This window comes from Homo sapiens, chromosome 1 (assembly GCF_000001405.40).
Source record: "Homo sapiens chromosome 1, GRCh38.p14 Primary Assembly".
NCBI classification, from domain to species: Eukaryota; Metazoa; Chordata; class Mammalia; order Primates; family Hominidae; genus Homo; species Homo sapiens.
Window position 1 is genome coordinate 24,042,078 of NC_000001.11, and position 24,113 is coordinate 24,066,190.

A 24,113-nucleotide genomic window follows, 5' to 3' on the forward strand; every position below is an offset into this window, starting at 1 on the left:
TCTCGAACTCCTGACCTCATGATCCGCCCACCTCAGCCTCCCAAAGTGCTGGGATTATAGGCAAGAGCCACCACACCCAGCTCCGCCTTTTGCTTTTCAAGATATTTCTGTACTATTTGAATTTTTACAGCAAGAGCATAGTGACTGGGAAGGAAAGGTTGAGCAGCAATCCTGAAACCTATTTCTTCTCTTTACCAAGGATCCTTGGGGGAAGAAAGGGATCCCCACTCACATCCCCTTGTAAACACTCCAGTAACCAGAGCTTCTGGTAAGCAAACTAATGGTATTTACTAGCAGAAAGATAATGGTAAGTCTTTATCTGTGTAATGCATTTATCAATATATACGTTGTCTGCCTAGGGTGTTTACCAGAAGTAAAATTGGAATTTGTGGATTTATGGAGCATAGCGTGCTGGAAAATGTCACATAAGCTGTGTAATTAATGGGGTGTAAAATGAAGATGCTCTGTAATCAATATGGCTCCTTCGTGTAAGTGGTGGCATGTACAATTGCTTAGACTCACACATTAAATACAAGTGCAAACATATTCTATGCAGTAGAGGAATGCTCTCTGTGGGGAGGTGTTGATGGTGTTGAACTTCAAGGGAGGGATGTTTTGCCTGTGCCTTGGGATCGTCTGTATCCTTTGAATTAGTAGAGTTTGGTACTGTGAGATCTATGATTCATGTGATTTGACTTGACAAATTGGGAGACATAGATTGGGTAACATCAGCACATAAATGCATCTTACAGCTGTGGAATTTGAGAGATATAGTCAGAGGAAGGGTGAGAGAGGTCATAGATACAAAACAGAAGAGCAGGCTGGGCATGGTGGCTCACACCTCAGCACTTTGGGAGGCCGAGGTGGGCAGATCACCTGAGGTCAGGAGTTCGAGACCAGCCTGGCCAACATGGTGAAACCCTGCCTCTACTGAAAATACAAAAATTAGCCAGGCATGGTGGTGGGTGCCTGTAATCCCAGCTACTCGGGAGGCTGGAGGCAGGGAGAATTGCTTGAACCCAAGAGGTAGAGGTTACAGTGAGCTGAGTTCATGCCACTGCACTCCAGCCTGGGTGATAGAGCAAGACTCCATCTCAAAAACAAAACAAAAAATTTAAAGAAAACAGAAGTGCTTGGACTATTGCAGTAGCTTCATAACCGGTCTCCCAGCTTCCCTTCTTGACCGCTCCATAACCCAGTCTCCACACAGCATGACACCCCTGTTTGGAACTTTCCAGTGGCTTGCCATCACAGTTAGAATAAAATACAAAGTGCTTATCATGGCCCACAAGGCCCTACACAAATGGGCTCCTGGGACCTCTTCAGCTCAACTCCTAGTACTCCCTTCCTTGTTAACCAATGTTCATGCTATGCTGGGCTCTTTCAACTGCCTGAGAGCCCCTTTCTGGCTGTTTTCTCTCCCTGCAGTATCTTTCCCTTGGGGCATTCTCTGCATGGCTGGCCCTCTCTCAGGTTTCAAGTCTCAGTTCCAATGTCACCTTCTTAAGGGATTTGCCTTGGTAATGCAATCTAAAGCAGCTCTACCCTCCCTCAGTCTCTATTGCCTTACCTCATCACCATCATTTTATTTGCTTTAGAGCACTATCTGAAATTATTGTGCTTTCTTGTTTATTTTTTTTTGAGACAGGGTCTTGCTCTGTCATTGAGGCTGCAGTGCAGTGGCACAATCATGGCTCACAGCCAGCAAGGAAGAGAGTACTAGGAGTTGAGCTTAAGAGGTCTCAGGAGCCCATTTGTGTAGGGCCTTGTGGGCCATGATAAACACTTTGTATTTTATTCAAAATGTGATGGCAAGCCACTGGAAAGTTCCAAACAGTGATGTCATGCTATGTGGAGACTGGGTTATGGAGAGGTCAAGAAGGGAAGCCTCGACTCCCAGAGCTCAAGTGATCCTCCTAGCTCAGCCTCCTGAGTAGCTGGGACTACAGGTGTGTGCCACCGTGCCCAGCTAATTTTTAATTTTTTGTAGAGACAAAATCTTGCCATGCTGCTTAGGCTGGTCTTGAACTCCTGGGCTCAAGTGATCAGCCCACCTTGGCCTCTCAAAGAGTTGGGATTACAGGTGTGAGCCACGGTGCCCAGCCTGATTTTTTAATAGTGGTAAAATATACACAACATAAAATTTACCATTTTAACAAAAGAATTTTTTTTTTGAGGTGGAGTTTTGCTCTTGTTGCCCAGGCTGGAGTGCAATGGCACGATCTCAGCTCACTGCAACCTCTGCCTCCCAGGTTCAAGCGATTCTCCTGCCTCAGCCTCCCAAGTAGCTGGGATTACAGGTATGTGCCACTGTGCCTGGCTAATTTTGTATTTTTAGTAGAGATAGGGTTTCTCTATGTTGGCCAGGCTGGTCTCTAACTCCTGACCTCAGGTGATCCACCCACCTCGGCCCCCCAAAGTGCTGGGATTACAGGTGTGAGCCACCACGCCCGGCCCATTTTAACTATTTTTAAGTGTACAGTTCAGTGGCATTAAGTACATTCATAATGTTGTGTCATCATCACCACTATTTCCAGAACTTTTTTTTATCATCCCAAACAGAAACTCTATGCCCGTTAGACAGTAACTTCCTATTCCTTCCTCCCCTCAGCCTCTGGTAACCTCTATTCTACTTTTTGTCAATGAATTTTCCTGTTCTAGGTACCTCATATAGGTGCAATGATACAATCTTTGCCCTTTTGTGTCTGGCTTTCAGGGTTCATCCATGTTGGAGGATGTGTCAACATTTCACTCCTTTTAAAGGTTTTCAAGATTCATCCATGTTGTAGCATGTGTCAGCAGCTCATCCCTTTTAAAGGCTGAGTAATATTCCTTTTTTTTTTTTTTTTTTTTAGACGAAGTTTTGCTCTTGTTGCCCAGGCTGGAGTGCAGTGGCGCGATATCTTGGCTCACTGCAACCTCTGCCTCCAGGGTTCAAGCGATTCTCCTACCTCAGCCTCCTGAGTAACTGGGATTACAGGCATCCGCCACCAAGCCTGGTGGCTTGGTTTTTTTTTTTTTTTTGAGACGGAGTTTGGCTCTCGTTGCCCAGTCTGGAGTGCAATGACGCTATCTCAGCTCACTGCAACCTCCGTCTCCCAGGTTCAAGCGATTCTCCTGCCTCAGCCTCCTGAGTAGCTGGGATTATAGGCACGGGCCACCACGCCTGGCTAATTTTGTATTTTTAGTAGAGACAGGTTTTTTCCATGCCTGTAATTGCCACCACGCCCAGCTAATTTTTTTTTTTGTCTTTTTAGTAGAGACGGGGTTTCTCCATGTTAGTCAGGCTGGTCTCGAACTTCTAACCTCAGGTGATCCACCCGCCTCAGCCTCCCAAAGTGCTGAGATTACAGGCATGAGCCACTGTGCCTGGCCTTAATTTTTTGTATTTTTAGTAGAGACAAGGTTTCACCATGTTGGCCAGGCTGGTCTTGAACTCCTGACCTCAGGTGATCCACCCGCCTTGGCCTCCCAAAGTGCTGGGATTACAGGCATGAACCACAGCGCCCAGCAGCTGTCTCTGGTAATTGAACAGTTTAACTTGATTCTGTCCCACAGAAATATAACAAGAGCCATATATAGAATTTAATTTTTTTTTTTTTTTTTGAGACAGGGTGTCCCTCTGTCACCCAGGCTGGAGTGCAGGGGCATGATCACAGCTCACTGAGGCCTCGAACTTCTGGGCTCAAATGATCCTCCTGTCTTAGCCTCCTGATTACTAGAACTACAGGCACGTGCCACTGTGCCCAGCTATTTTTATTTTTGTAGAGACAGGGATCTCACTGTGTTGCCAGGGCTGATCTCAAACTCCTAGGCTTAAGCAATCCTCCCTCCTTGGCCTTCCAAAGTACTGAGATTACAGGCGTGAGCCACTGTGCCCAGCTGAATTTTCTAGTAGCCATATTAAAACAATAAAAAGAGGCCCTGCAAATCACTGGCAAGCTACTTAACCTTCTTGATCTTCCACTCCCTCTTGGGTAAGATATCCACCAAAGGGCAATTGTAAAGGTCAGATGAGGTAGCATATAGGAAAGATACACATGAAAATGATTTGCTAGTGCAACATCTGATAGTCAAAGTGTTATTTTTATTTTTCTGGAAATAAACAAATGATTTGAAAAAGTATCATGTGGTGAGCACCAGATGGATAATGAGACAAGTTTATTAAACATCTTAAACTGTGCAGTCAGTGACAAAAGCAAGTGGGAAGCAACTAAAGATGTTAGAGCTGGGAAAGCCGCCTCATCTGGTCAAAGTCAGGAGGAGCAAATCCCTCTGAGCCACCAGCCCGTTTGCCCACTTGGCTCGACCCCAGCTGACAGCCCGTGCAGGAGTTATTGCTGCTTGGGAGACTTGAGATTTTGGCCAGTAGCATTCTTTTGTAATCTTCTATGTGACTGTATCCGCCCACATTTCTGACTCAGAATGAACAGGGAAAGGCGCTGCTGGCAGCTGAATTACCTCAAAACCCAGCTCCAGCCAACCCTTTGAATAGTGATGAGAGCAATGTGCTCCTCCACACATCACCTAAATAGGGAGGCCCATTTGTTATCACCACTTGGCAGATGAAAGTATTGTTTCACAGCGGTTAAGTGATTAGGCCTGGATAAGCAAGCAGAATTTCGAACCCAAGTAGCCTGACCGTGGGCCTTGTGCTGTTAGCCCTGAGGCTGCTTTAGGGACCAGAGATTACGTTATTAGGCAAATATTAAATAAACTCAGTGCATTTAGTTGCCTTCCCACCCTCAGAAAGCAACCTGGACTCAACCACTTTATTACTGATTTATTTATATCACTCTATTTTGCAGATGAAAAGCATCATTGAGTATCTCTCCCTCTCTCTTTTTTTTTGAGACAGGATTTTGCTCTGTCGCCCAGGCTGGAGTGCAGTGGTGCAATCATGGCTCACTGCAGCCTCGACCCCCTGAGCTCAAGCAATCCTCCTTCCTCAGCCTCTCAAGTAGCTTCAGTGATTCTATTTTTAGTACTTTTAGTGGTCACCCCACACCTCTAAAGGAAGGTTTGGGCCAAGCATGGTGGCTCATGCCTGTAATCCCATCCTTTGAAAATAAACTCACCCTCATAGCTCAGTAATTTGTTGCTGCTGAGATGATTGAAAAGAATGGACCTTGAGTTCGAACTGTTCAGTTGTGGTTGTCACTTAAGGTCCAGCTTGCTGGGCTTCTCTGGAGTGCTGAGGCAAGGGGTGCCCCGCCCTATCCAAAATCTGTGTTATGAGTCAGAAGGCAGAGACGCCAAAAGTCCATGGGGCAATTCCCAGGAGGAGGGCCTGCTCTGAGTGACATGTCCTCTTGGTTCTGTGGACTCCTCACCTGGAGGGGGCATCTGAAGACAGAATCCAGGACAGTAAGTCCCAATGAGGAGTTCCATTCATGGTGTGGCAAGTAAGCTCCAACTGGACTGATCTCCGGGCAGATTTCAACTGTTAACTCCGGGGGAAAAAAAAAAGCACTGGAGATTAAAAAAAAAAGCAGGCAGATTCTGAAGAGGAGTCGACACTTGGAAGAAGGAAATGGCACAGGATGAATTTCTCCTGTTTTTAATTTAAATTTTTTTCTTTTCTATTTTAAAAATATTTATTTATTTACTTAAAAAAATTAAGGTGCGGTCTCACTATGTTGGCTGGGCTGGTCTCAAACTCCTGGGCTCAAGTGATCTGCCTGCTCAGCCTCCCAAGGTGCTGGGATTACAGGTGTGAGCCACTGTGCTTGGCCTGTCTTTTGACTTTTAAAACCTATCCTGAACATTTTTCCATGCTGCTGCTTTTTTTCTTCCCCCTCTCTGTCGCCTAGGGTGGAGTGTAATGACATAATCTCGGCTCACTGCAAACTCCACCTCCTGGGTTCAAGCAATTCTCCTGCCTCAGCCTTCTGAGTAGCTGGGATTACAGGCACGCACCAACAGGACCGGCTAATTTTTGTATTTTTAATAGAGATGGGGTTTCACCATGTTGGCCAGGCTGGTCTCAAACTCCTGGCCTCAAGTGATCCACCCACCTCAGCCTCCCAAAGTGCTGGGATTACAGGTGTGAGCCACAGAGCATGGCCATGTTTTCCCCCCATGCTTCTAAATATTATATATATATATATATATATATATATATATATATATATATATATATATATATATATATAGACAGGACCTCACTCTGTTGCCCAGGCTGGAGTGCAGTAGTGCAATCTCAGCTCACTGCAGCTATGACCTCCCCAGACTCAGGCTATCCTCCCATCTCAGCCTCCTGAGTAGCTGGGACTATAGACATGCACCACCACACCCGGCTAATTTAATTTTTTTTTTTTTGTAGAGACAGGGTCTCACTATGTTGCCCAGGCTGGTCTTGAACTCCTGGGCTCATCTTCCAGAGTTGCTGGGATTACAAGTGTGAGCCACTTTGCCCATCCATGCAATATCATTGTTGGTGACTGTGTATCAGTCACAATATGACTAGATCGTAATTGATTATTAAGTGTGTTAGCCTTATATTTTACACATGAATCACAAGCATTTTTCTCAGTTGGTTTCCGCTTTATAACTTTATGGTGAGCCTGTCCTTTCATTAGTTGGCTGTGGTCCAGTAAAAACCAACCACCATCTCTCTGGGTAAACATCTGATAAATGGTGTTTCTCATGTGGGCAGGGTCCATGTCTTTTTTGTTTATCACTGTATTGCCAGTGCCTAGCATAGCACCTGGAGTGAAAGAACTACTCACAAAATTTGTGTGCGGGTCCGGTGGCTCATGCCTATAACTCCAGCATTTGTGAGGCCGAGGCAGATGGATCGCTTGAGCCCAGGAGTCTGAGACCAGCCTGGACAACGTGGCAAAACCCCAAGTCTACAAAAAAATACAAAAATTAAGCTGGGCGTGGTGGTGCACAACATGTAGTCCCAGCTTCCCAGGAGGCTGAGGTGGGAGGATTGCCTGAGTCTGGGGAGGTCGTAGCTGCAGTGAACTGAGATTGCACCACTGCACTCCAGCCTGGGCAACAGAGTGAGACCCAGTCTCAAAAAATAAATAAACAGGCCAGGTGTGGTGGCTCATGCCTGTAATCCCAACACTTTGGGAGGTGGAGGCAGGTGGATCACCTGTGGTTAGGAGTTTGAGACCAGTCTGGCCAACATGGTGAAAACCCATCTCTACTAAAAAAAAAAAAAAAATACAAAAATTAGCCGGGCATGGTGGTGGGCACCTGTAATCCCAGCTAATCAGGAGGCTGAGGCAGAAGAATCACTTGAATGGGGGAGGTGGATGTTGTAGTGATCCGAGATATCACTTCATTGCACTCCAACCTGGGCAACAAGAGCAAAACTCTGTCTCAAAAAAAAAAAAAAAAAAAAAAAAAATATATATATATATATATACACACACACACACACACACACTATATATATATACATATGTATACACACATATATACACATATATATACACATATATATACACATATATATATAAAATAAATAAAATTTGTGTTGACTAACACAAATTGATCATGTTTGATTGACTAACTTGTGACCTGTGTTTAAGGCGAAGACTCAGGTTACCATCACTGGTTGCTGGCCTCTGTTAGTCTGTTGAATAGCTTTTAATTTAGTAATTCATGCCCTTTGACCTAGTAATTCCCCTTCTAGAGTCTATCCGAAAGAATTTTTCAGAGATGCACGCAAAGATTTATGTATAAGGATGATCATTCCAGTTTTAAGAGTGAAAAATTCTAAATAATTTCTAGCAATATGAAAATAATACGTAATTACAACATAAACATTAATATGGGGTTTTTGAATGTTTTGATGATGTGAGGAAGTTCTTATGATGTCATGGCATATACAAAACCAGAATGTAAAATTGTTCGTAGGATTTCTCAACTCTGTTAAACTTAGCATGAAATACACCTAACACGTGTTGTGTGGGTTGGGAATGATTTCAGCACCAAGGAACAGAAAACCTAACTCATGGTGGCTTAAACTTAGAGGGGTTAAGTTTTCTCTCATTGGCTGGGCACGGTGGCTCACGCCTGTAATCCCAACACTTTGGGAGGCTGAGGCGGGCAGATCACTTGAGGCCAGGAGTTCAAGACCAGCCTGGCTCACATGGTGAAATCCTGTCTCTACTAAAAATACAAAAAATTAGCCGGGCGTGGTGGCGGATGCTTGTAATCCCAGCTACTTGGGAGGCCAAGGCAGAAGAATCCATGAACCTGGAAGGCAGAGGTTGCAGTGAGCTGAGATCACGCCATTGCACTCCAGCCTGGGCGACAAGAGTGAAACTCCATCTCAAAAAAAGAAAGGTTTTATCTCATATGTAGCCTGTAGTCTGGAGGTGGTGGTTGAGGGTCTGATGGCAGCAGTGTGGAGATGTCAGGGCCGGATCTCTGCGATTCTCTTTTTTTTTTTTTTTTTTCTGAGAATGGAGTCTCGCTATGTCATCCAGGCTGGAGAGCAGTGGCGCAATCTCAGCTCACTGCAACCTCTGCCTCCTGGGTTCAAGCAATTCTCCTGCCTCAGCCTCCTGAGTAGCTAGGATTACAGGTGTGTGCCATCATGCTCAGCTAATTTTTGTATTTTTAGTAGAGATGGGGTTTCATCATGTTGGCTAGGCTGGTCTTGAACTCCTGACCTCCAGTGATCCCCCCGCCTCAGCATCCCAAAATGCTGGGATTACAGGCATGAGCCACCGTGCCTGGCCTGCGATTCTCTTTTCTTAATGGCTGGGCTGCCATAAAGAAAATTGAGGCCTGCTCCAGCTCCAGGATGACTGCACTTGAGTCAGGAAGGAGGAGGGGGACTTGTACGGTGCCTGCAGTGTCTGTCCCTTTGATCAGGAACACCAAGAGCCTACCAAGGTGCCCCAGCAGATGTTGGCTTATTTCTCTTTGACTGGAATTGTGTCCTGTGGCTACCGCCAGCTACAGGAGAACCCGGGAAAGTGAGTATTTAACATCCCAGTCTCTAGAGTGGAGGCAGCAATGGGGAATCGGTGGGAATATCTATTAGGTTAGCTGATAAACTAACATTTCATTTCCATTTTACTTCTTTCAGGCTGGTGGGTTTATGGGTGTTTTTACTTTTCTTCTTTATTTTTTCTGTCTCATGTAATTTTTCTACAACAAGCATTTCTAATTTCTGTTGTTGAAAAAATATGACAGATACTGCTTTAAAAATCCTTTGTGAGGTTGTGGGCTTTCATTTCTGGAAGCGTTCATACTATCATCAGTCAAATTTGTGGAGAAGGAAGGAACTGTTGAATTCTGTGGGGGTTGGATTGACACCTCTCTCTTTCCCAGTAGACTATGACATCCCCAGGGAATGGGTGGGTGGGGAAATCTATGATTTGTTTAGCTCCTGTCAGGTACTGTGTTAGTTACTTGGCAAGCAAGCATCGTCTCATCTAATTCTCATAGCAGCCTTCCTTTTACAGACAAGAGGAAGACAGGCTAAAAAACTTAATCAGGTCATACATTGGGTGAAAGGAAGCTGGATCTCAGCACCAGGCTTTAATTTTGTAGGTTCCTGAGACATAGTAATCTCAATAAAGTGTGTGTTGAATGAATGTGGAGTCAATGAATCCCTTGGATGTGTAAGTTTTTTAAAGAAAACTGCAGCGGTTCCGTGATAATTATTTCTTGTAGAGCACCCATTCATTTTAACTTGCGCAATTGAAAAATAACAGGCTGTAGTAAATTGCCTGCAGGAGAGGAACTCTGTGCACACTTTCCTGTATCTAAAATCCTTGCCTAATTGCCGGATGTAAATAATGAGTATGACTCCTGTATGAAAAGACAGCCGAAGATTTGTTTCTCATGAGGTCTCTGAAGTTTTTTATTATGAAAAAATTCCAAATATATTCAAACAGAGAGAGAATGGTAGTATGAACTCCAAGGTACGCATCACCCAGCTTCAAGAAGCATCACTATTTTGCTAACTTTTCCATTTGTCTCCCCGCTCCCACTTTTTTTTATTAGACTAAAGTACTTTAAAGCAAACCCAAAGACTAATTTCACCATGAAACATTTGATATTTATTCCAATATTTATTTTATTCCAATATTTATAATTGGAATAAAAGGGATTTTGTGTGGCCCTGCGTTTTTCTTTCTTTAGATCTGCAAGTACAGGAAGCGATGATGTAAAAATCGTCCCAGGGCACGTGGACTTCTGGAGGCCCAGGTGAAAAGAGGCATATTCCTCACAGGCTATGCAATTTGTTTTTCCCTTAGCTCCTCTGGCTCCAGCCGTAATACTTTCCTCAAATGCTGAAAATTAAATATCTGGCCTCTCTTAGCTAGATTTCTGGGGAGTGCTTCTTTTGAGACTATTTTTGGCATGAAAATATCACTCAAGTTGCTTGAAGTTATTTGGAATTTTTGAAGTATGAAAAGCATCTCACTAGAGCCATGGTTGAGGCTGAGTGGGTAGAGTTACTTATTACACAGGCTATCATTTCCCATCCAGCTTCTTGCTTTCTGTGCCCATCTGTTTAATGGTTCTAATGCTTTAGGATGGCCGGGCGCGGTGGCTCAAGCCTATAATCCCAGCACTTTGGGAGTCTGAGGCAGGCGGATCACCTGAGGTTGGGAGTTCGAGACCAGCTTGACCAACATGGAGAAACCCCGTCTCTACTAAAAATGCAAAATTAGCCAGGCATGATGGCACACGCCTGTAATCCCAGCTACTCGAGAGGCTGAGGCAGGAGAATCGCTTGAACCCGGGAGGCGGAGGTTGCAGTGAGCCGAGATCGTGCCATTGCACTCCAGCCTGGGCAACAAGAGTGAAACTCCATCTCAAAAAAAAAAAATGCTTTAGGACAAGGACTGCATCCTGGTTGGGATGTGAAAGGTGACCCAACAGGTGTGGAGGAGGAGTGGCTGGTGGCCAGTAGAGGGGAATCTGCCTGGCTGGCCAGCCTTCCTTCCAGCTGTGTGCCCTGCCTAGGCTCTCTGGAAAAGTCCAGAATGCTGGGAGGTCCATGGAGAGTTTCTGAAAATGCTGGGATTGTCGGTGTCTCTTAGTCCATGTTGTGTTGCTATAACAGAAAACCACAGACTGGGTGATTTCTTTATTTATCTATTTTGAGACGGAGTCTCACTCTGTCACCCAGGCTGGAGTGCAGAGTGCAATGGTGCAATCTTGGCTCACTACAACTTCCACCTCCCAGGCTCAAGCAATTCTCCTGCCTCAGGCTCCCGAGTAGCTGGGATTACAGGTGTGTGCCAACAGGCCCAGCTAATTTTTGTATCTTTAGTGGAGAAGGGGCACTATGTTGGCCAGTCTGGTCTTGAACTCCTGACCTCAAGTGATCCATCTGCCTCAGCCTCCCAAAGTGCTGGGATTACAGGTGTGAGCCACTTCACCAGCCCAGACTGGGTGATTTATAAAGAAATTTAAGGCTGGGCGTGGTGGCTCACGCCTGTAATCTCAGCACTGGGAGGCTGAGGCGGGTGGATCACGAGGTCAGGAGATCGAGACCATCCTGGCTAACACGGTGAAACCCTGTCTCTACCAAAAATATAAAAAATTAGCCGGGCGTGGTGGTGGGTGCCTGTAGTCCTGGCTACTCAGGAGGCTGAGGCAGGAGAATGGCGTGAACCTGGGAGGCCAAGCTTGCAGTGAGCCGAGATCGCGCCACTGCATTCAAGCCTGGGCGACAGAGTGAGACTCTGTCTCAAAAAAGAAAAAAAAAAAAAAAAGAAATTTAATTCTTACAGTTCTGGAGGCTGGGAAGTCCAAGGTTAAGGGAACATATCTGGCAAGGGTCTTTGTGCTCCATCATCCTGTGGCAGAGGGCGTCACATGGTGAGAGAGCATGGGGGCAGGGGGAAAAACTCATCCTTTTATCAGGAATCCATGAGAATTACCCACTCCAAAGATCACTAACCCACTCCCATGATAATGATACATCATGGATCAATAATTCACTCATGGCCGGGCGTGGTGGCTTATGCCTGTAATTCCAGCACTTTGGGAGGCCAAGGTGGGTGGATCACTTGAGGTCAGTTGTTCAAGACCAGCCTGGCCAACATGAGGAAATGCTATCTCTACTAAAAATACAAATACTATCTGGGTGTGGTGGCAGATGCCTGTAATCCCAGCTACTTGGAAGGCCGAGGCAGGAGAATCGCTTGAATCTGGGAAGTGGAGGTTGCAGTGAGCCGAGATCATGCCACTGCACTCCAGGCTGGGTGGCAGAGTGAGACTTTGTTTCCAAAAAAAAAAAAAAAGGAAAAATTCAATCTTGAAGGCAGAGCCCTCATTAGTTCACTTCATCATGTCTTATAAGAAGCAACACTGTTGCACTGGGGATTAAGTTCTAACACATGAACTTTGGGTGACACATTCACATAAAGTGTTTGCCGAGACCTAATCATAGACTCTAGAGTGCTTCTCCTCCCTCACACCTCACTGTCACATCACTAAAGGCCCATTTACAACAGTTCCTTTTTATGCCATGCCTGCCTTTTAACAATGAATTACAAGGCATACTAAAAGGTAAAACACACGGAAGAGACAGAGCAAACATTAAAACCAGACTGAGATATGCCAAGCATATTGGAATTATTAGGCCCAGATTTTTTTTTTTTAATTTTTGAGGTGGGGTCTCACTCTGTTGCCCAGGTGGGAAGTTCAGTGGTGCCATCACGGCTCACTGCAGCCTCGACCTCCTGGGCCCAAGCAATTCTCCCACCTCAGCCTCCCAAGCATCTGAGACCACAGGCACATGCCACCATGCCTGGCTAGTTTTTCTTTATTATTTGTTGAGAAAGGGTCTCGCCATGCTTCCCAGGCTGGTCTTGAACTCCTAGGCTAAAGTGATCCTCCTGCCTTGGCCTCCCAAAACGCTGGGATTACAGGCATGAGCCACCACACCCAGCCAGACCAGGAATTTTAAAAAATTATGATTCATATGTTAAGGACTCCAACGCACTAGACCAGGGACTGGCTTCTGCCCCCAAACTGGCTTGTCAGCAATCACAAAGCTCACAACATCTCCAGCCCCATGAAGCGCAGCTTGTAGCTTCTTACAGTGCATGTGCAAATTGCACAAACAGGGATGCTCATATCATGTTCCACCAAGGCCAACAGGCTTTCCTATGTCATTGAAATTTGTGACATATTTTCATTGACACACCAAAGAAGCCAAGACTTTCCTCTGATGTTGGAAGTGTTAAGAGTGGGAGGATGGGCTAGGATGATGTCTTTTTGTTTACTACATATTCATAGGAAGAGAAAAGCAAAAGAGGATGAAGTTCTGGGAAGTAATAAAATAATCTGTCTGGGCAGGGAGGCTCATGCCTCTAATCTCAGCACTTTGGGAGGCCAAGGCAGGTAGATCCGCTTGAGCTCATGAGTTCGAGTAACATGGTGAAACTCCATATCTACAAAACATACAAAAATTAGCCAGGTGTGGTGGTGTGTAGTCTCTGATACTCAGGAGGTTGAGGCGGGAGGATCGTTTGAGCCTGGGAGGCAGAAGTTGTAGTGAGCAGAGATGGTGCCACTGCACTCCAGCCTGGGCAATTGAGCCAGGCCTTGTCTCAAAAACAAAACAAAATAAAACAAAAACTTAGTGTCCATTGGAAGGACCCTCAAAATGATCTTCCAGCCTTCTGGTTTTACAGATGGGAAACTGAGGCCCAGAAAAGGAAAAGTACTGTGCAAGACCACACAGCCAGTGGATGGTAGAGGGGTGCTTCAAACCAGCGGTGTTTGCCTCCGAGATCTGCGTGATTCCCCAAACTCCAGTCAGGTCTCCCTGGTCCCCGCTGCTCCCTGCAGAGGTCTCATCAAACGCCTGGTCTGCCTGCACCATGCAGCCTGGAAGGTGAGCCGCTGGGGGATATGTTACCCACCACGTCTTGATACGTGCAGAGGTGGGGTATGTAGGGGTGACTCACTTTATCCTTCAGTTCAGAAGCCATTGCAGAAATCAGAGGCAGGTGTTACTTTGTGGTGTTGGGAGTATAGATTATGTTTATTTTCTCTATAATTTCCAGGGTTTTCCAAAATTTTACAACAAACATCTATAATTTTATGAACACTCCCCATCTTATTTTTAAAAAGAAAAAAGTTGGGGGGCAGAGAAATGCCCAGCTCAGTACTGAGATCCATCAAGTGAGGCCAGCCGGTATCTGTCACACCAGGCAGAGGCCCCGTGCTGGAAGCCCTGGAGGTTACCAGCTCCAAGCCTGGTATCCAAGGCCTCCTGGGCAGCCTTAGCCTCCTCCTTCCCTTTCCTCCCACCAGACCCTGCTCCTGGGATGTCCTTCTCCCATTACCACCACAAAATCGGACTAATTTTTCAGGGCCCAACACCAATTCTGCTAATTTTTTTTTGGCTCAATCTTGGCTCATCACAACCTCCGCCTCCCAGGTTCAACGGATTCTCCCACCTCGGCCTTCTGAATAGCCGGGATTACAGGCACCTGCCACCATGCCTGGCTAATTTTTGTATTTTTAGTAGAGACCGGGTTTCGTCATGTTGGCCAGGCTGGTCTAAAACTCCTGACCTCAGGTGATCTGCCCGCCTTGGCCTCCCAAACTACTGGGATTACAGGCGTGAGCCACCTCGCCCAGCCTGGATGAAGGTGTTTTCAAAGCCCTACCTCCCCCTGTTGGGACGACCCTCTGTCTCCCTCCTTGGACCACTGGCGGCACTTTCCTTGGACCTGCTTTATAATCTTTATCATGTCCTGCCTTGTCCTGGAGTTGTTTGCGCCCAGGTCTGTTTCTCCCACTGGACTGAGGCCTCTTTGCAAGCAGAACCTGCTTATCAGCTGCCTTTGTGTTCCCAGCTCCATCCTCAGCCTCCCACATGCTAGACTTCAGGTGTCTGTTGAACTTACATGAATTGAAACTATGGGATCCTAAAAGAGGGGTGCGATGTATCAGTTTATGGCAGGGCTCATGGCCCTTGGCACTTTTGACATCTGGGGTCGGATAATTCTATGTGGTGGGAGCTGCAGTGTTTAGCAGCGTACCTGACCTCTACCTATCAGATGCCAGTACTGTTAGATAGCCCCAGTGCATCCGGGTCTCCTACTCCAGGTCCAGGGTTCATCCCGCTCTCCTGGAAGCCACTCAGGACCCCAGAAAGATCTTTGCTTCTCCACTTTGGTGCATCCGCTCCACCCCCACCCTCACATCCTGGGTTCTATCTTGTCCCCTTTCCTTCTGCCCCACCCCTGTAGCCTGTGCCAGGCTGTGACCCTGGTACAGGTTGTCCCTACTGGTCCATGTAGACTAGACTCAGACTGTGCCTGGACACACGCTGTCACATGCTCTTCAGCTCCTTGGGCTCGTCCCCGTGCTTGAACACACTGATGGTGACCTGGCCCGTCTCGGAGCCATACTTGTTCTTGACGAAGACGCCGTAGCGGCCGCTGTCTTCACTGTTGACCTTCTCAATGGTGATGGTGACCTCTGTCCCCCTCACTTCCATGCGGTATCGGTCAAGGAAGGTGACAGGCTGGTCATTCTTCAGCCAAGAGATTTCAGGGGTGGGGTCTCCTGAGACGATGCAAGTCAAGCACAGGGTCTGTTTGAAAAGACAGGAAGGGAACAGTCTCACCTCCTTGTAACTTGAACTTAGCATTTGCTTTCATGCCCCCAGAGAGCTCCCAGCTCAGGTTGCTCCCTGTGATAATTTAGTACATGTGTTTTATTATAATTTATAAAGGGGAGAGATTTTATTTTAACCCCACATCCTTCATCCTCAACCTTTTATTTTATTTTGAGATGGAGTCTCGTTCCATCGCCCAGGCTGGAGTGCAGTGGCATGATCTCGGCTCACTGCAACCTCTGCCTCCCAGGATCAAGTGATTCTCCTGCATCAGCCTCCTGAGTAGTTGGGGTTACAGGTGCCCGCCACCAAGCCCGGCTAATTTTTGTATTTTTAGTAGAGATGGGGTTTTGCCGTGTTGATCAGGCTGGTCTTAAACTCCTGACCTCAAGTGATCTGCCCTCCTCAGCCTCCCAAAGTGCTGGGATTACAGGCGTGAGCCACTGTGCCCGGGCATTCTCAACCTTTCTACAGGAATACTTACCCATCAGAATCTCAGACCATAATTACTCTCGCAATTATCGGTCCCAGAATGGCCTTCACTTTGTTTTATTGCTTTTTGTAATATATATGTCACTACGATTTTACAATGCAAGTAAGATTATATAGATTTAGTGCATAGGTTTATGAATTAAAATAGAAAATTACTGAACAAGCTCTAATGCAGAGCACTATAATGTAATTATTAAACACACAGGCTCTGGAGTTGGGCTTCCTGGGTGTGAATCTCAGCTCTGCCCCTTCAAGCTGTGTGACCTTAGGTCTCTTAACCTGGGTTAAGGGACTCTGGGTTTCCTCAGCTATAAACTATGATTAGTAATAAATAAAACCCTATTTCATGTGATTACCTTGATGGCTAAAGAAGCTCAAAAAGATAATATACATGGAATCGTGCCTGACAAAAAGTAAGCACCATCAATAAGTCAGCAATTGTTTTCAGGAACACTAGATTTACATAAATAAGTTCAGTCCTAGACGGGCTTTTAGGGATCTCTCAGTAGACATTTCTTTTGGACGCTGAAGTCCGCAGGTAGAAGTCTAGGATGCCCAGGGCTGTCTAGACAGATGGAGATAGAACTAGGTCAAGTACCCACTGAGGGCTGACACCAGGCCCAGTGACTTTCCTTTGTACCACATGTCATCAATGAGGTGTGGTCACTTGGCCACTCTTTGGCTTTGAATCCATGGTGCTGCATTGTTTCGTGATCTGTGGTGGATGCACGAAGGAACACAGAGGGGGACTGCTGGCTGTGGGCTGGGAAGGGTCAGTACCTTATCTTCCATGATAGTGGCCACATCCGGCAGACCTCTCACCACTTTGGCACGATCTGGAAGGGAAATAAGAGACCCCAGCGATGAATCCTTTTCTGCCAGCCGCTTCCCAGAAGTTTCATAGAGTTGAGGTTTATTTTTAAGCAAGGCTTCTTTTTTTTCCTTTTTCTATTTTCATTATTTTGGATGGAAATCTTTTTTAAATTTTTTTTTCAAAATTAATTTTTTGAGACAGGGTCTCGCTCTGTTGCCCAGGGTGGAGTGCAGCAGCACGATCTCAGCTCACTGCAACTTCTGCCTTCCAGGCTCAAGCAATCCTCCCCCGCTCAGCCTCCTGAGCAGCTGGGACTATAGGCATGCATCAGCCCGCCTAGCTAATTTTTGTATGTTTTGTAGAGACGGGGTTTCGCCATGTTGCCCAGGCTGGGCTTGAAGTCCTGGGCTCAAGCAATCCTCCTGCCTTGGCCTCCCAGAGTGGTGGGATTATAGGCATGAGCCGCCACACCTGGCCTTGGATGGAAATCTCTAGAACTGTATTACATGCTTCTTTGTATTCATAAGTAGAAGATATGGGACATAGTGTTTTTCTGCCACTGATCTGAGGTCATTTGCTATGATTGGTGGTACCTGGAGGTGACCATGAGATGCTCCTGCCCTCAAGAACCAGGAAGAAGGTAAGTGGGACTCTGAGACTTCAACTGGCAAAATCCACACAACGGGTGTGACCAACAAGGTCAGAGAAAGCAACAGAACCTTTTGCTTTTGTCTGAAAAAACAGAAGCTTTTGGGACACTTTGAACCTGGTCAAGCGAGGGACCTGGTGGCCATTGTGGGTGGCCAGGAAGAGTGTGGTTGTCAACCACTAAGCAGAAATCTGGTCTACTCCTCATGGTGCAGGGGAAGCTGTGGGAACAGGACGGGTGGTCAGCACGGCCTAGACCAGGGATCAGGGATGTGCAAAGATCCCGATGCGGATGGTGTCTGTCCAGTGGGTGAAAGGGGAGCAGGACCCCAGATGGGGAGGGGAAGGCCCCACAGATGGATGCAGTTGTGGGCAGAAAGTGTCACCAACCCTTCACAGCTGGACAAAATGATTGTTTCCTTCAGCTCTGATGCCACATGCCCCAGCAACCCAGTATTGGTGAATTCAGCTTTCCTCTATTAGGGTCCTGGACGGGGCTTCTGTTCAGGATGACGCATTCCACTATGGGCAGGGACATTCTCACTGGGTGAATGATTAGATTCATGGTACAAGAGCCTCCTCGTGGCCTGAGGCTGAGGCTGGTCTTGGGCTGTGCTCCCTCCACCGAGGCGCCCCTCAGCCCCCTGCAGGAGCTTCTCACTGCATGGCCACTTATACCCCTCAATTGCCCCTTCCCAATAACAGCTATGAGCCTGAGGCCTGCACTTCCTGTCAAGTGGGGACACTCGGGGTCAATGATGCCACGCAGAGCGAATTATCCCCTCCCACACATGGCCTCAAGCTGGCGGTGTGAGTTTTCTTGTCTGTTCTTAGAGCTGTGCTGTCTCCTTCTATGGCCACACCTGTGCTCTGCTGCCTGCCCGGGTCTTTCCCTCACTGAAATCCTTACTCCTCATCTGCTGGGCCAGTGAGAGCAGACAGCCAGACTCCTACCACCAGGCCGCTTAGAACTGGCTTGGGTTGGGAGGTGATGAATGGGACAAGCTCGAGCTCATGGACTTGGTGGTGGCTCCCCGGGTGGCCCGGAGGCCGTGCCATGTGCCTCTGGGTTTGGGGCTTCATCCTGGATTCGATGAGGCTCCAATACCTCGAGAGCCATAGCTTCAGCTTTAAAGTCACCCCATCCCCACAGATCACTCGGGAAGGCCTGCCCAGCCTCATTCCTGTCTGTCCCCTCCTTTTCGGTCCCACCAATGTAGTCCATGTGCCTGCGAGAACCAGGCTCGCGCTGGATGCTTCCACAACACAATCCCAGGTGTCCTCGGATTCTGTCTCTGTCTTGCCCAGGTCTTCCCTGCAGCTCTGTAAGACCCTAGAGCCCCACAGACCCCACTGTGGAATGAGGCCTTCAGCAGCCCACCAAGAGGGTTGAGCTTCCAGGAAGTTTGCCCCAAATTCAGAAACAAAAACAACAGAAATATCGGCCGACTTACTCTTCTCGATGATGGCCAAGGTTCTGAAAAACAGAAATGGGAACAAGGTGTGACATTCCACTTGCTAAAGGACAGTCCAGCCCAGGTGGAGGTGAGGGGTGATGAAGGAAAGGTGGAGCTGGCTGGGGCTCCCAGGAAGGAGTCCTGAGCCTAGTTTATGCCACACCCTGAAGGGGCCTATAATTCACACTGAGAAATGTAGAGGAAACTTACTTCAGTCTCTGGTGTTCAGCCATTGCATCCTCAAAAGCTATAAGAAGGACAGAGGAGAATGGGGGCCATCAGGGCCTCTGCTGTCTGATGATGGGGACAGGGTGACCCTGGGAGCAAAGCTTATCCCTGACTGTCCTCCACTCTCCTCCCCATGCCGATGTTTCTTTGGGGCAGTGGCAGGACTGCGTGGGAGGGTAGGCGTACCCTCAGAAGACCATGGGATTTTCTTTTTTCTTTCTTTTTATTTAGCTAAAAATTTTTTAAAAATATTTCTTTCCTTAACACCTATCCCAGAGTAACCTTTATTATTATTCTTTTATTTTTTGAGACAGGGTCTCACTCTGTTGCCCAGGCTAGAGTACAGTGGTGTGATCACAGCTCATTGCAGCCTCTATCTCCTGGGCTCAAGCAATCCTCCCGCTTCAGCCTCCCAAGTAGCTGGGAATATAGGCAGGCGTCACCATGCCCAGCTAAATTATTTTTAGTTTTTGTAGGAATGTTGCCCAGGCTGGTCTCACTATGTTGCCCAGACTGGTCTCAAACTCCAGAGCTCAAGCGATCCTCCCACTTCAGCCTCCCAAAGTGCTGGGATTACAGGACTGACCCAGTGTGCCCAGACTGTCCATGGGATTTTCTAAGCAGGTTTCCCTGCAGACATAGGTGGATGGCTCACCTTGCCCTGAGAGATCTGTTGAGAGCTGCCGGACTTCCTTCCCTGCAGCTATTTCCAGAGTGTATTTGCCCTTGTCTGAGTCTTTGGGGTCCAGGATGTGAAGCCAGATCTCATCCAGGGTGGTGCCCGTCCTTATCCGATCACCACTCTCCAGACGTTTGTCTCTGAATGTGAGGGTGGAGAAATGGTTAAGGCTGCCTGTCTGCAGGTCAACAGATACCCGTGCCCCAAAATCCTCTCCTCTGGTTTTGTTTTGAGATCACGGGCTATGGGTGGTGACTATGAGGCACCAGATAAATATCCATTCACTTACTCATTGATTATTCAACCCTCCATTCCTCATTCAATACTGCATTCATTCATTCATTCATTCATCATTCCTAGAGACGCTGTCCTCTGTTCCCAGTGTTGTGTTGCAGAGGTGACACCTCTCTGCTTAGTCACAGGGCTCAGAAACTCGCTGGGGGAGGAACCTATTGTCCTGAAATTCCATCTGTTCTTGGCTCTCACTCATTTGACAACCTGGACCAAATTAGTCAAGCCTTCTCCATAGAGTGGGTGCAGTAATGTCTGCTCCACAAGGCTGAGGCATGCAGCTGGTAAAAAGCACTGGGAAAACTCTGCTGTTGGATTATCTGGGGCCACTCAGAGAGTGGCTGAGTCTCTGTGGGTACCTCATCTATCCTGCCTTCAAGCCCTGGCTCTCAGTTAGTGGCCAGCCCCACAGACCCTTTTCCTGCATGTTTCCCCTAAGCCTGGCTGACCAAGTTTGCTAAGTCTGCAGAGGCCCACAAGGGTCCCCTGACCCACCTGACCACTTGGCTCTTCTTTGTCCCTGCATCCCTTTCTCCCCCAGTTCCCAGCTGCTGCCCAGAGACTGATCCTGCTGTGGCCATAGAGTTTCCAGAAAAATGTTGTCCCGCCAAGGTTCCCACCTTCCCTGGGGATCTCGGCAAAGCCTTTCTACTCCTCCCACTGCTAATCTCTATCCTCAACTCCTTCTGTGGACAGCAAGACCAGGAAGAGACTCTGTCTCTGCTAACCCCTGGGACCAGGCTCTGCTTGGGGGACCAGAAACTCTGCTTGGAGGACCAGGCAGGGAGAAGGGAGGGAGGCCCCCATGGGTCAGGTGCTGAATCCTTTCCAGCCTGGCTGGGGTTCTGGGGCAAGGCGGACTTACTTGTGGAACCAGGTGGTTTTCATGTACTCCACGTTGTAGTACTTGACCTTGCTGAAGATCCGGATCCCTTCCTCGGTCCCCTGGATTTTCAGTGGAGTTGCAGAGAGGGCTGGGGAGACAGAGGAGAAGGATGAATCTTCCCTGAGGCCATTTAGGCATCAGATTTTGGGGCCGGCTTGTCTGCCTCTGCCCTGGGGGGCAGGTGCTGTGGGGGAAATGCAGTGCTGTGAAGAGGCGGGATTTTCTCTTCGGTGTTTGAGGTTAGAAACTAAACCCACCCCCAATAGCCAAGGCCAGTGTTAGGCTGCTTGGAGGCTGTTGGGCATCAGGGCAGGGCAGGGCTGGGCAAAGAGGCAGGCTGCTTACCACCAATCCTGCCCAACTCGGTGAAGATGGCATCCAGGGCTGGCGGGAAACAGAGAGAAGGGTTAGCTGGCATAGGGCTCCCCTAGGGATGTGCTAGGAGTGGGGACATCCTAGAAAAAGGCTGGTGGAGCCCGTGAGCTGCTCTCAGGGGGACAGGCAACTCTGTAGGATGACTCTCATAGCTTGGGGATAGGAGGGGGTTCAGGGCACTCAGCAATGGGGTGGGCAGAAGGGCACTATGGATGGAGGACAAACATGCAAATCTGACAGTTTTTGCAGGCTGAGCTGATCAGCCTGATGAGGAGCCTGGGCCCACTGTGGGACGGAGGAGTGAACTCAGGCTTCGGGTCTCCAAGCCTGGGCTCACTGTGGTATACTGTGGTGAACGAGGGCATCGGAGTCACACCGACCTGGCTCCTGCCACTGACTAGATGTGGAATCTTGGGCAAGTTACTTAATCTCTTTGTGCCTCAATTTCTCCAAGTGACATGGGGATCCCATAAATCTTACTGCACAGATCACATCACAGTCTGCTCCACTGTGCTCCCTCCACAGCCCCTGACCCATCGCCAGCTCCTACCGTCACCCGTGAGGTCCAATATGGTGTCGTCCTCCCCTCGATCGTCAGAAACCATCGCTCTGTAAATTCCCTTGTCCTTTTTGGACAACTGGAAAGAAGGATGAGCGATGGTGGTGTCAGCATGGGCTCCAGAAGGAGAGATGGATACCAAATCCGGAGGCCTGGGCTCCAGGCCTGCCCCTCACTCTCTGTGTGACCTCAGGTAAGACCCTTCTCCTCCCTGGGCCTCCATTTACTCATCTGGGCTGGGTGAGCTCTAAGGCTCCTTTCAGCTCCAGAGCCCTTGGATTCCTAGCTCGGGGCTTGTCTGGGCCTGGGGAAGGGGTGGAGTAGGGGGAGTTGAGGACAGAACCAGACACCTTCGTTTGCATTCACAGGCAGCTGCTCTGAGCATGACATGACACAGTGAGCCTCACTTTGCAGAGCTTGTCTGGGCCTGGCCCACCTTTCACTCCCTGGGGGCTCCTGGATGGAGGGACCCCCACCACCTGCAGTTCCCCAGGAGGAAGCGTGTTTTCTCCTGCCCAGGACAAGGGGGCCCTTTTGGCCCATGTTTGTCAGCCCCAAATTAAGTCTGAACAAACACTCAGCAAAGTAAGAACTTGAGTTGTGCTTTCAAGGCAAGGTCCAGAGATCAGAAGTGACCTCTCATTACACAGCACCTTCCTTCAGCCCTCATCTCTCAATACTTCCCACCAGGACCATCTCCACACAGTGGGTTTGGGGCAGGATCCAAGACAGAGGCAGCTCTTAACCTGAGGATTGAGGTGCTGAGCCCCAAAAGTCCTCTCTTATGTCCTCACCATCCCAGGAAGTCTCCAAGTTCTCAGCCAAACCTAGGGTGGGTGACTGGAGTGGCTTCTGACCCCACCTTCTAGCCTTATGTCTTTGCATTGAAACACTCTGAGCCTCAGTTTACTCATCTGTAAAATCATGGCATCATCCTTGCCCTGCCTGTATGCTACAGCTGCTGTGGGGATCAAGGGAGGTAACTCTTAGGAGGCCAGAAAGTTTGCACCAATGGGACTGATGATTATAATAAAACTCTGTAACTTTGAAGCACCTACTGGTGCCACAGCCTGTCTGAGGAGCTTGCACAGTGGTGGCAAAGGCTGACTTGGCATCAGCCTGGCCAGGATTTGGGAGAAGACCTTGAAATCATTGTTTTCTTCCTAGTCAGCAAGGCTCTGTTTGCTCCAGTCCTCCTGGGCACCCAGTGAGGCCACAGACATCAGCAGCAGGGCAGAAAAAGGTTGACGTTTGAGAGCAAGCCTTGTGTTTCTCTCTTAACCAGGCCACGGTCCACCAAAGGCCATGGGGGAGGACTTGGGGGGAGAATTGAGCTCCAGGCCTGCTTTATTCTGCCCAGATCTGCCTCACATGGAGACATCCTTCCTGTCCCGACTCCTAGACTGTTGGGGCAGGAAGGAGGCGTTGAAAGAGCATCCCTTCCAACCCGCTCATGTTGCAGATGAAAGCTGAGGTCAGAGAGCGACGGGGGCTAGCCCAAGCCTGCACAGTCATTGGCAGGGCCAGTACTGGAGCTAAAGAAAAAAATCAGTAATACTGATTCTGTCTCTATTGAAAATTTGGGGGCTTTAATAGTTTTTTTGCATTAATTTTGATTTTTTAGAATATTGCATACAATATTATTTATCTTGATTACTGAGTTTTTTGGTGCCTCTTAAATTTTGTGCTCAGGGCCTCACTTGCATCAACCTAGCCTCGGCCCTGCCCTGACTCCCAGCCCAGAGCTCTTGGCCCTCCCTGGCTTGCAGCCAAAGGAGAAAGTGAGCCCTGAAGCTGGAGCCACACTTGCCTCTTCAATGCAGAGAAGTCCCGTTCCCGTCTCTGGGTCATACTGACCATCTGGCATCTCTGCCCTCTGGAAGAACCACTGAAAGCGAGTCTCCTTCTTGGTGTTGGTCACCTGGGGAAGGTGGGGAATGAGGAGACTCTGTCAGGCTTGTTTCTTTTTGAGTAAAAACACACCTGTGCACACTTTCAGGCATCTCAGTGGAGTCCTTTCACATACCATGTGTCTCCTCTGCTGGCCTCTGGACTCTGAATTCTTGCTAATGGTTTTCCCTCTGCCTCTTGATCCCTGCCTTACTCTATT

At 48.0% G+C, this 24,113-nt stretch overlaps 1 protein-coding gene and 1 long non-coding RNA gene across 2 annotated transcripts in view; one reads left to right on the forward strand and one right to left on the reverse strand.

Annotated features, from left to right (window-relative positions):
• Positions 1–196: 196 nt before the first annotated feature.
• On the forward strand, positions 197–22,052 carry LOC107984931 (uncharacterized). Its single transcript, XR_001737929.1, has 3 exons — positions 197–268; positions 13,635–13,837; positions 21,970–22,052. It is a non-coding gene; the product is annotated as an uncharacterized LOC107984931 (long non-coding RNA).
• Positions 13,964–24,113, reverse strand: part of MYOM3 (myomesin 3) — a 56,095-nt gene continuing 45,945 nt past the window's right edge. Inside the window, exons 29-37 of the mRNA NM_152372.4 lie at positions 23,814–23,924; positions 21,995–22,082; positions 21,415–21,453; positions 21,049–21,157; positions 19,869–20,032; positions 19,196–19,232; positions 18,983–19,005; positions 16,847–16,902; positions 13,964–15,550 (exon numbers count right to left, since the gene is read on the reverse strand). Coding sequence (NP_689585.3) covers positions 15,287–15,550; positions 16,847–16,902; positions 18,983–19,005; positions 19,196–19,232; positions 19,869–20,032; positions 21,049–21,157; positions 21,415–21,453; positions 21,995–22,082; positions 23,814–23,924 — 891 coding nt within the window. The 3' untranslated portion in view covers positions 13,964–15,286. The remainder of the gene's footprint in view (positions 15,551–16,846; positions 16,903–18,982; positions 19,006–19,195; positions 19,233–19,868; positions 20,033–21,048; positions 21,158–21,414; positions 21,454–21,994; positions 22,083–23,813; positions 23,925–24,113) is intronic.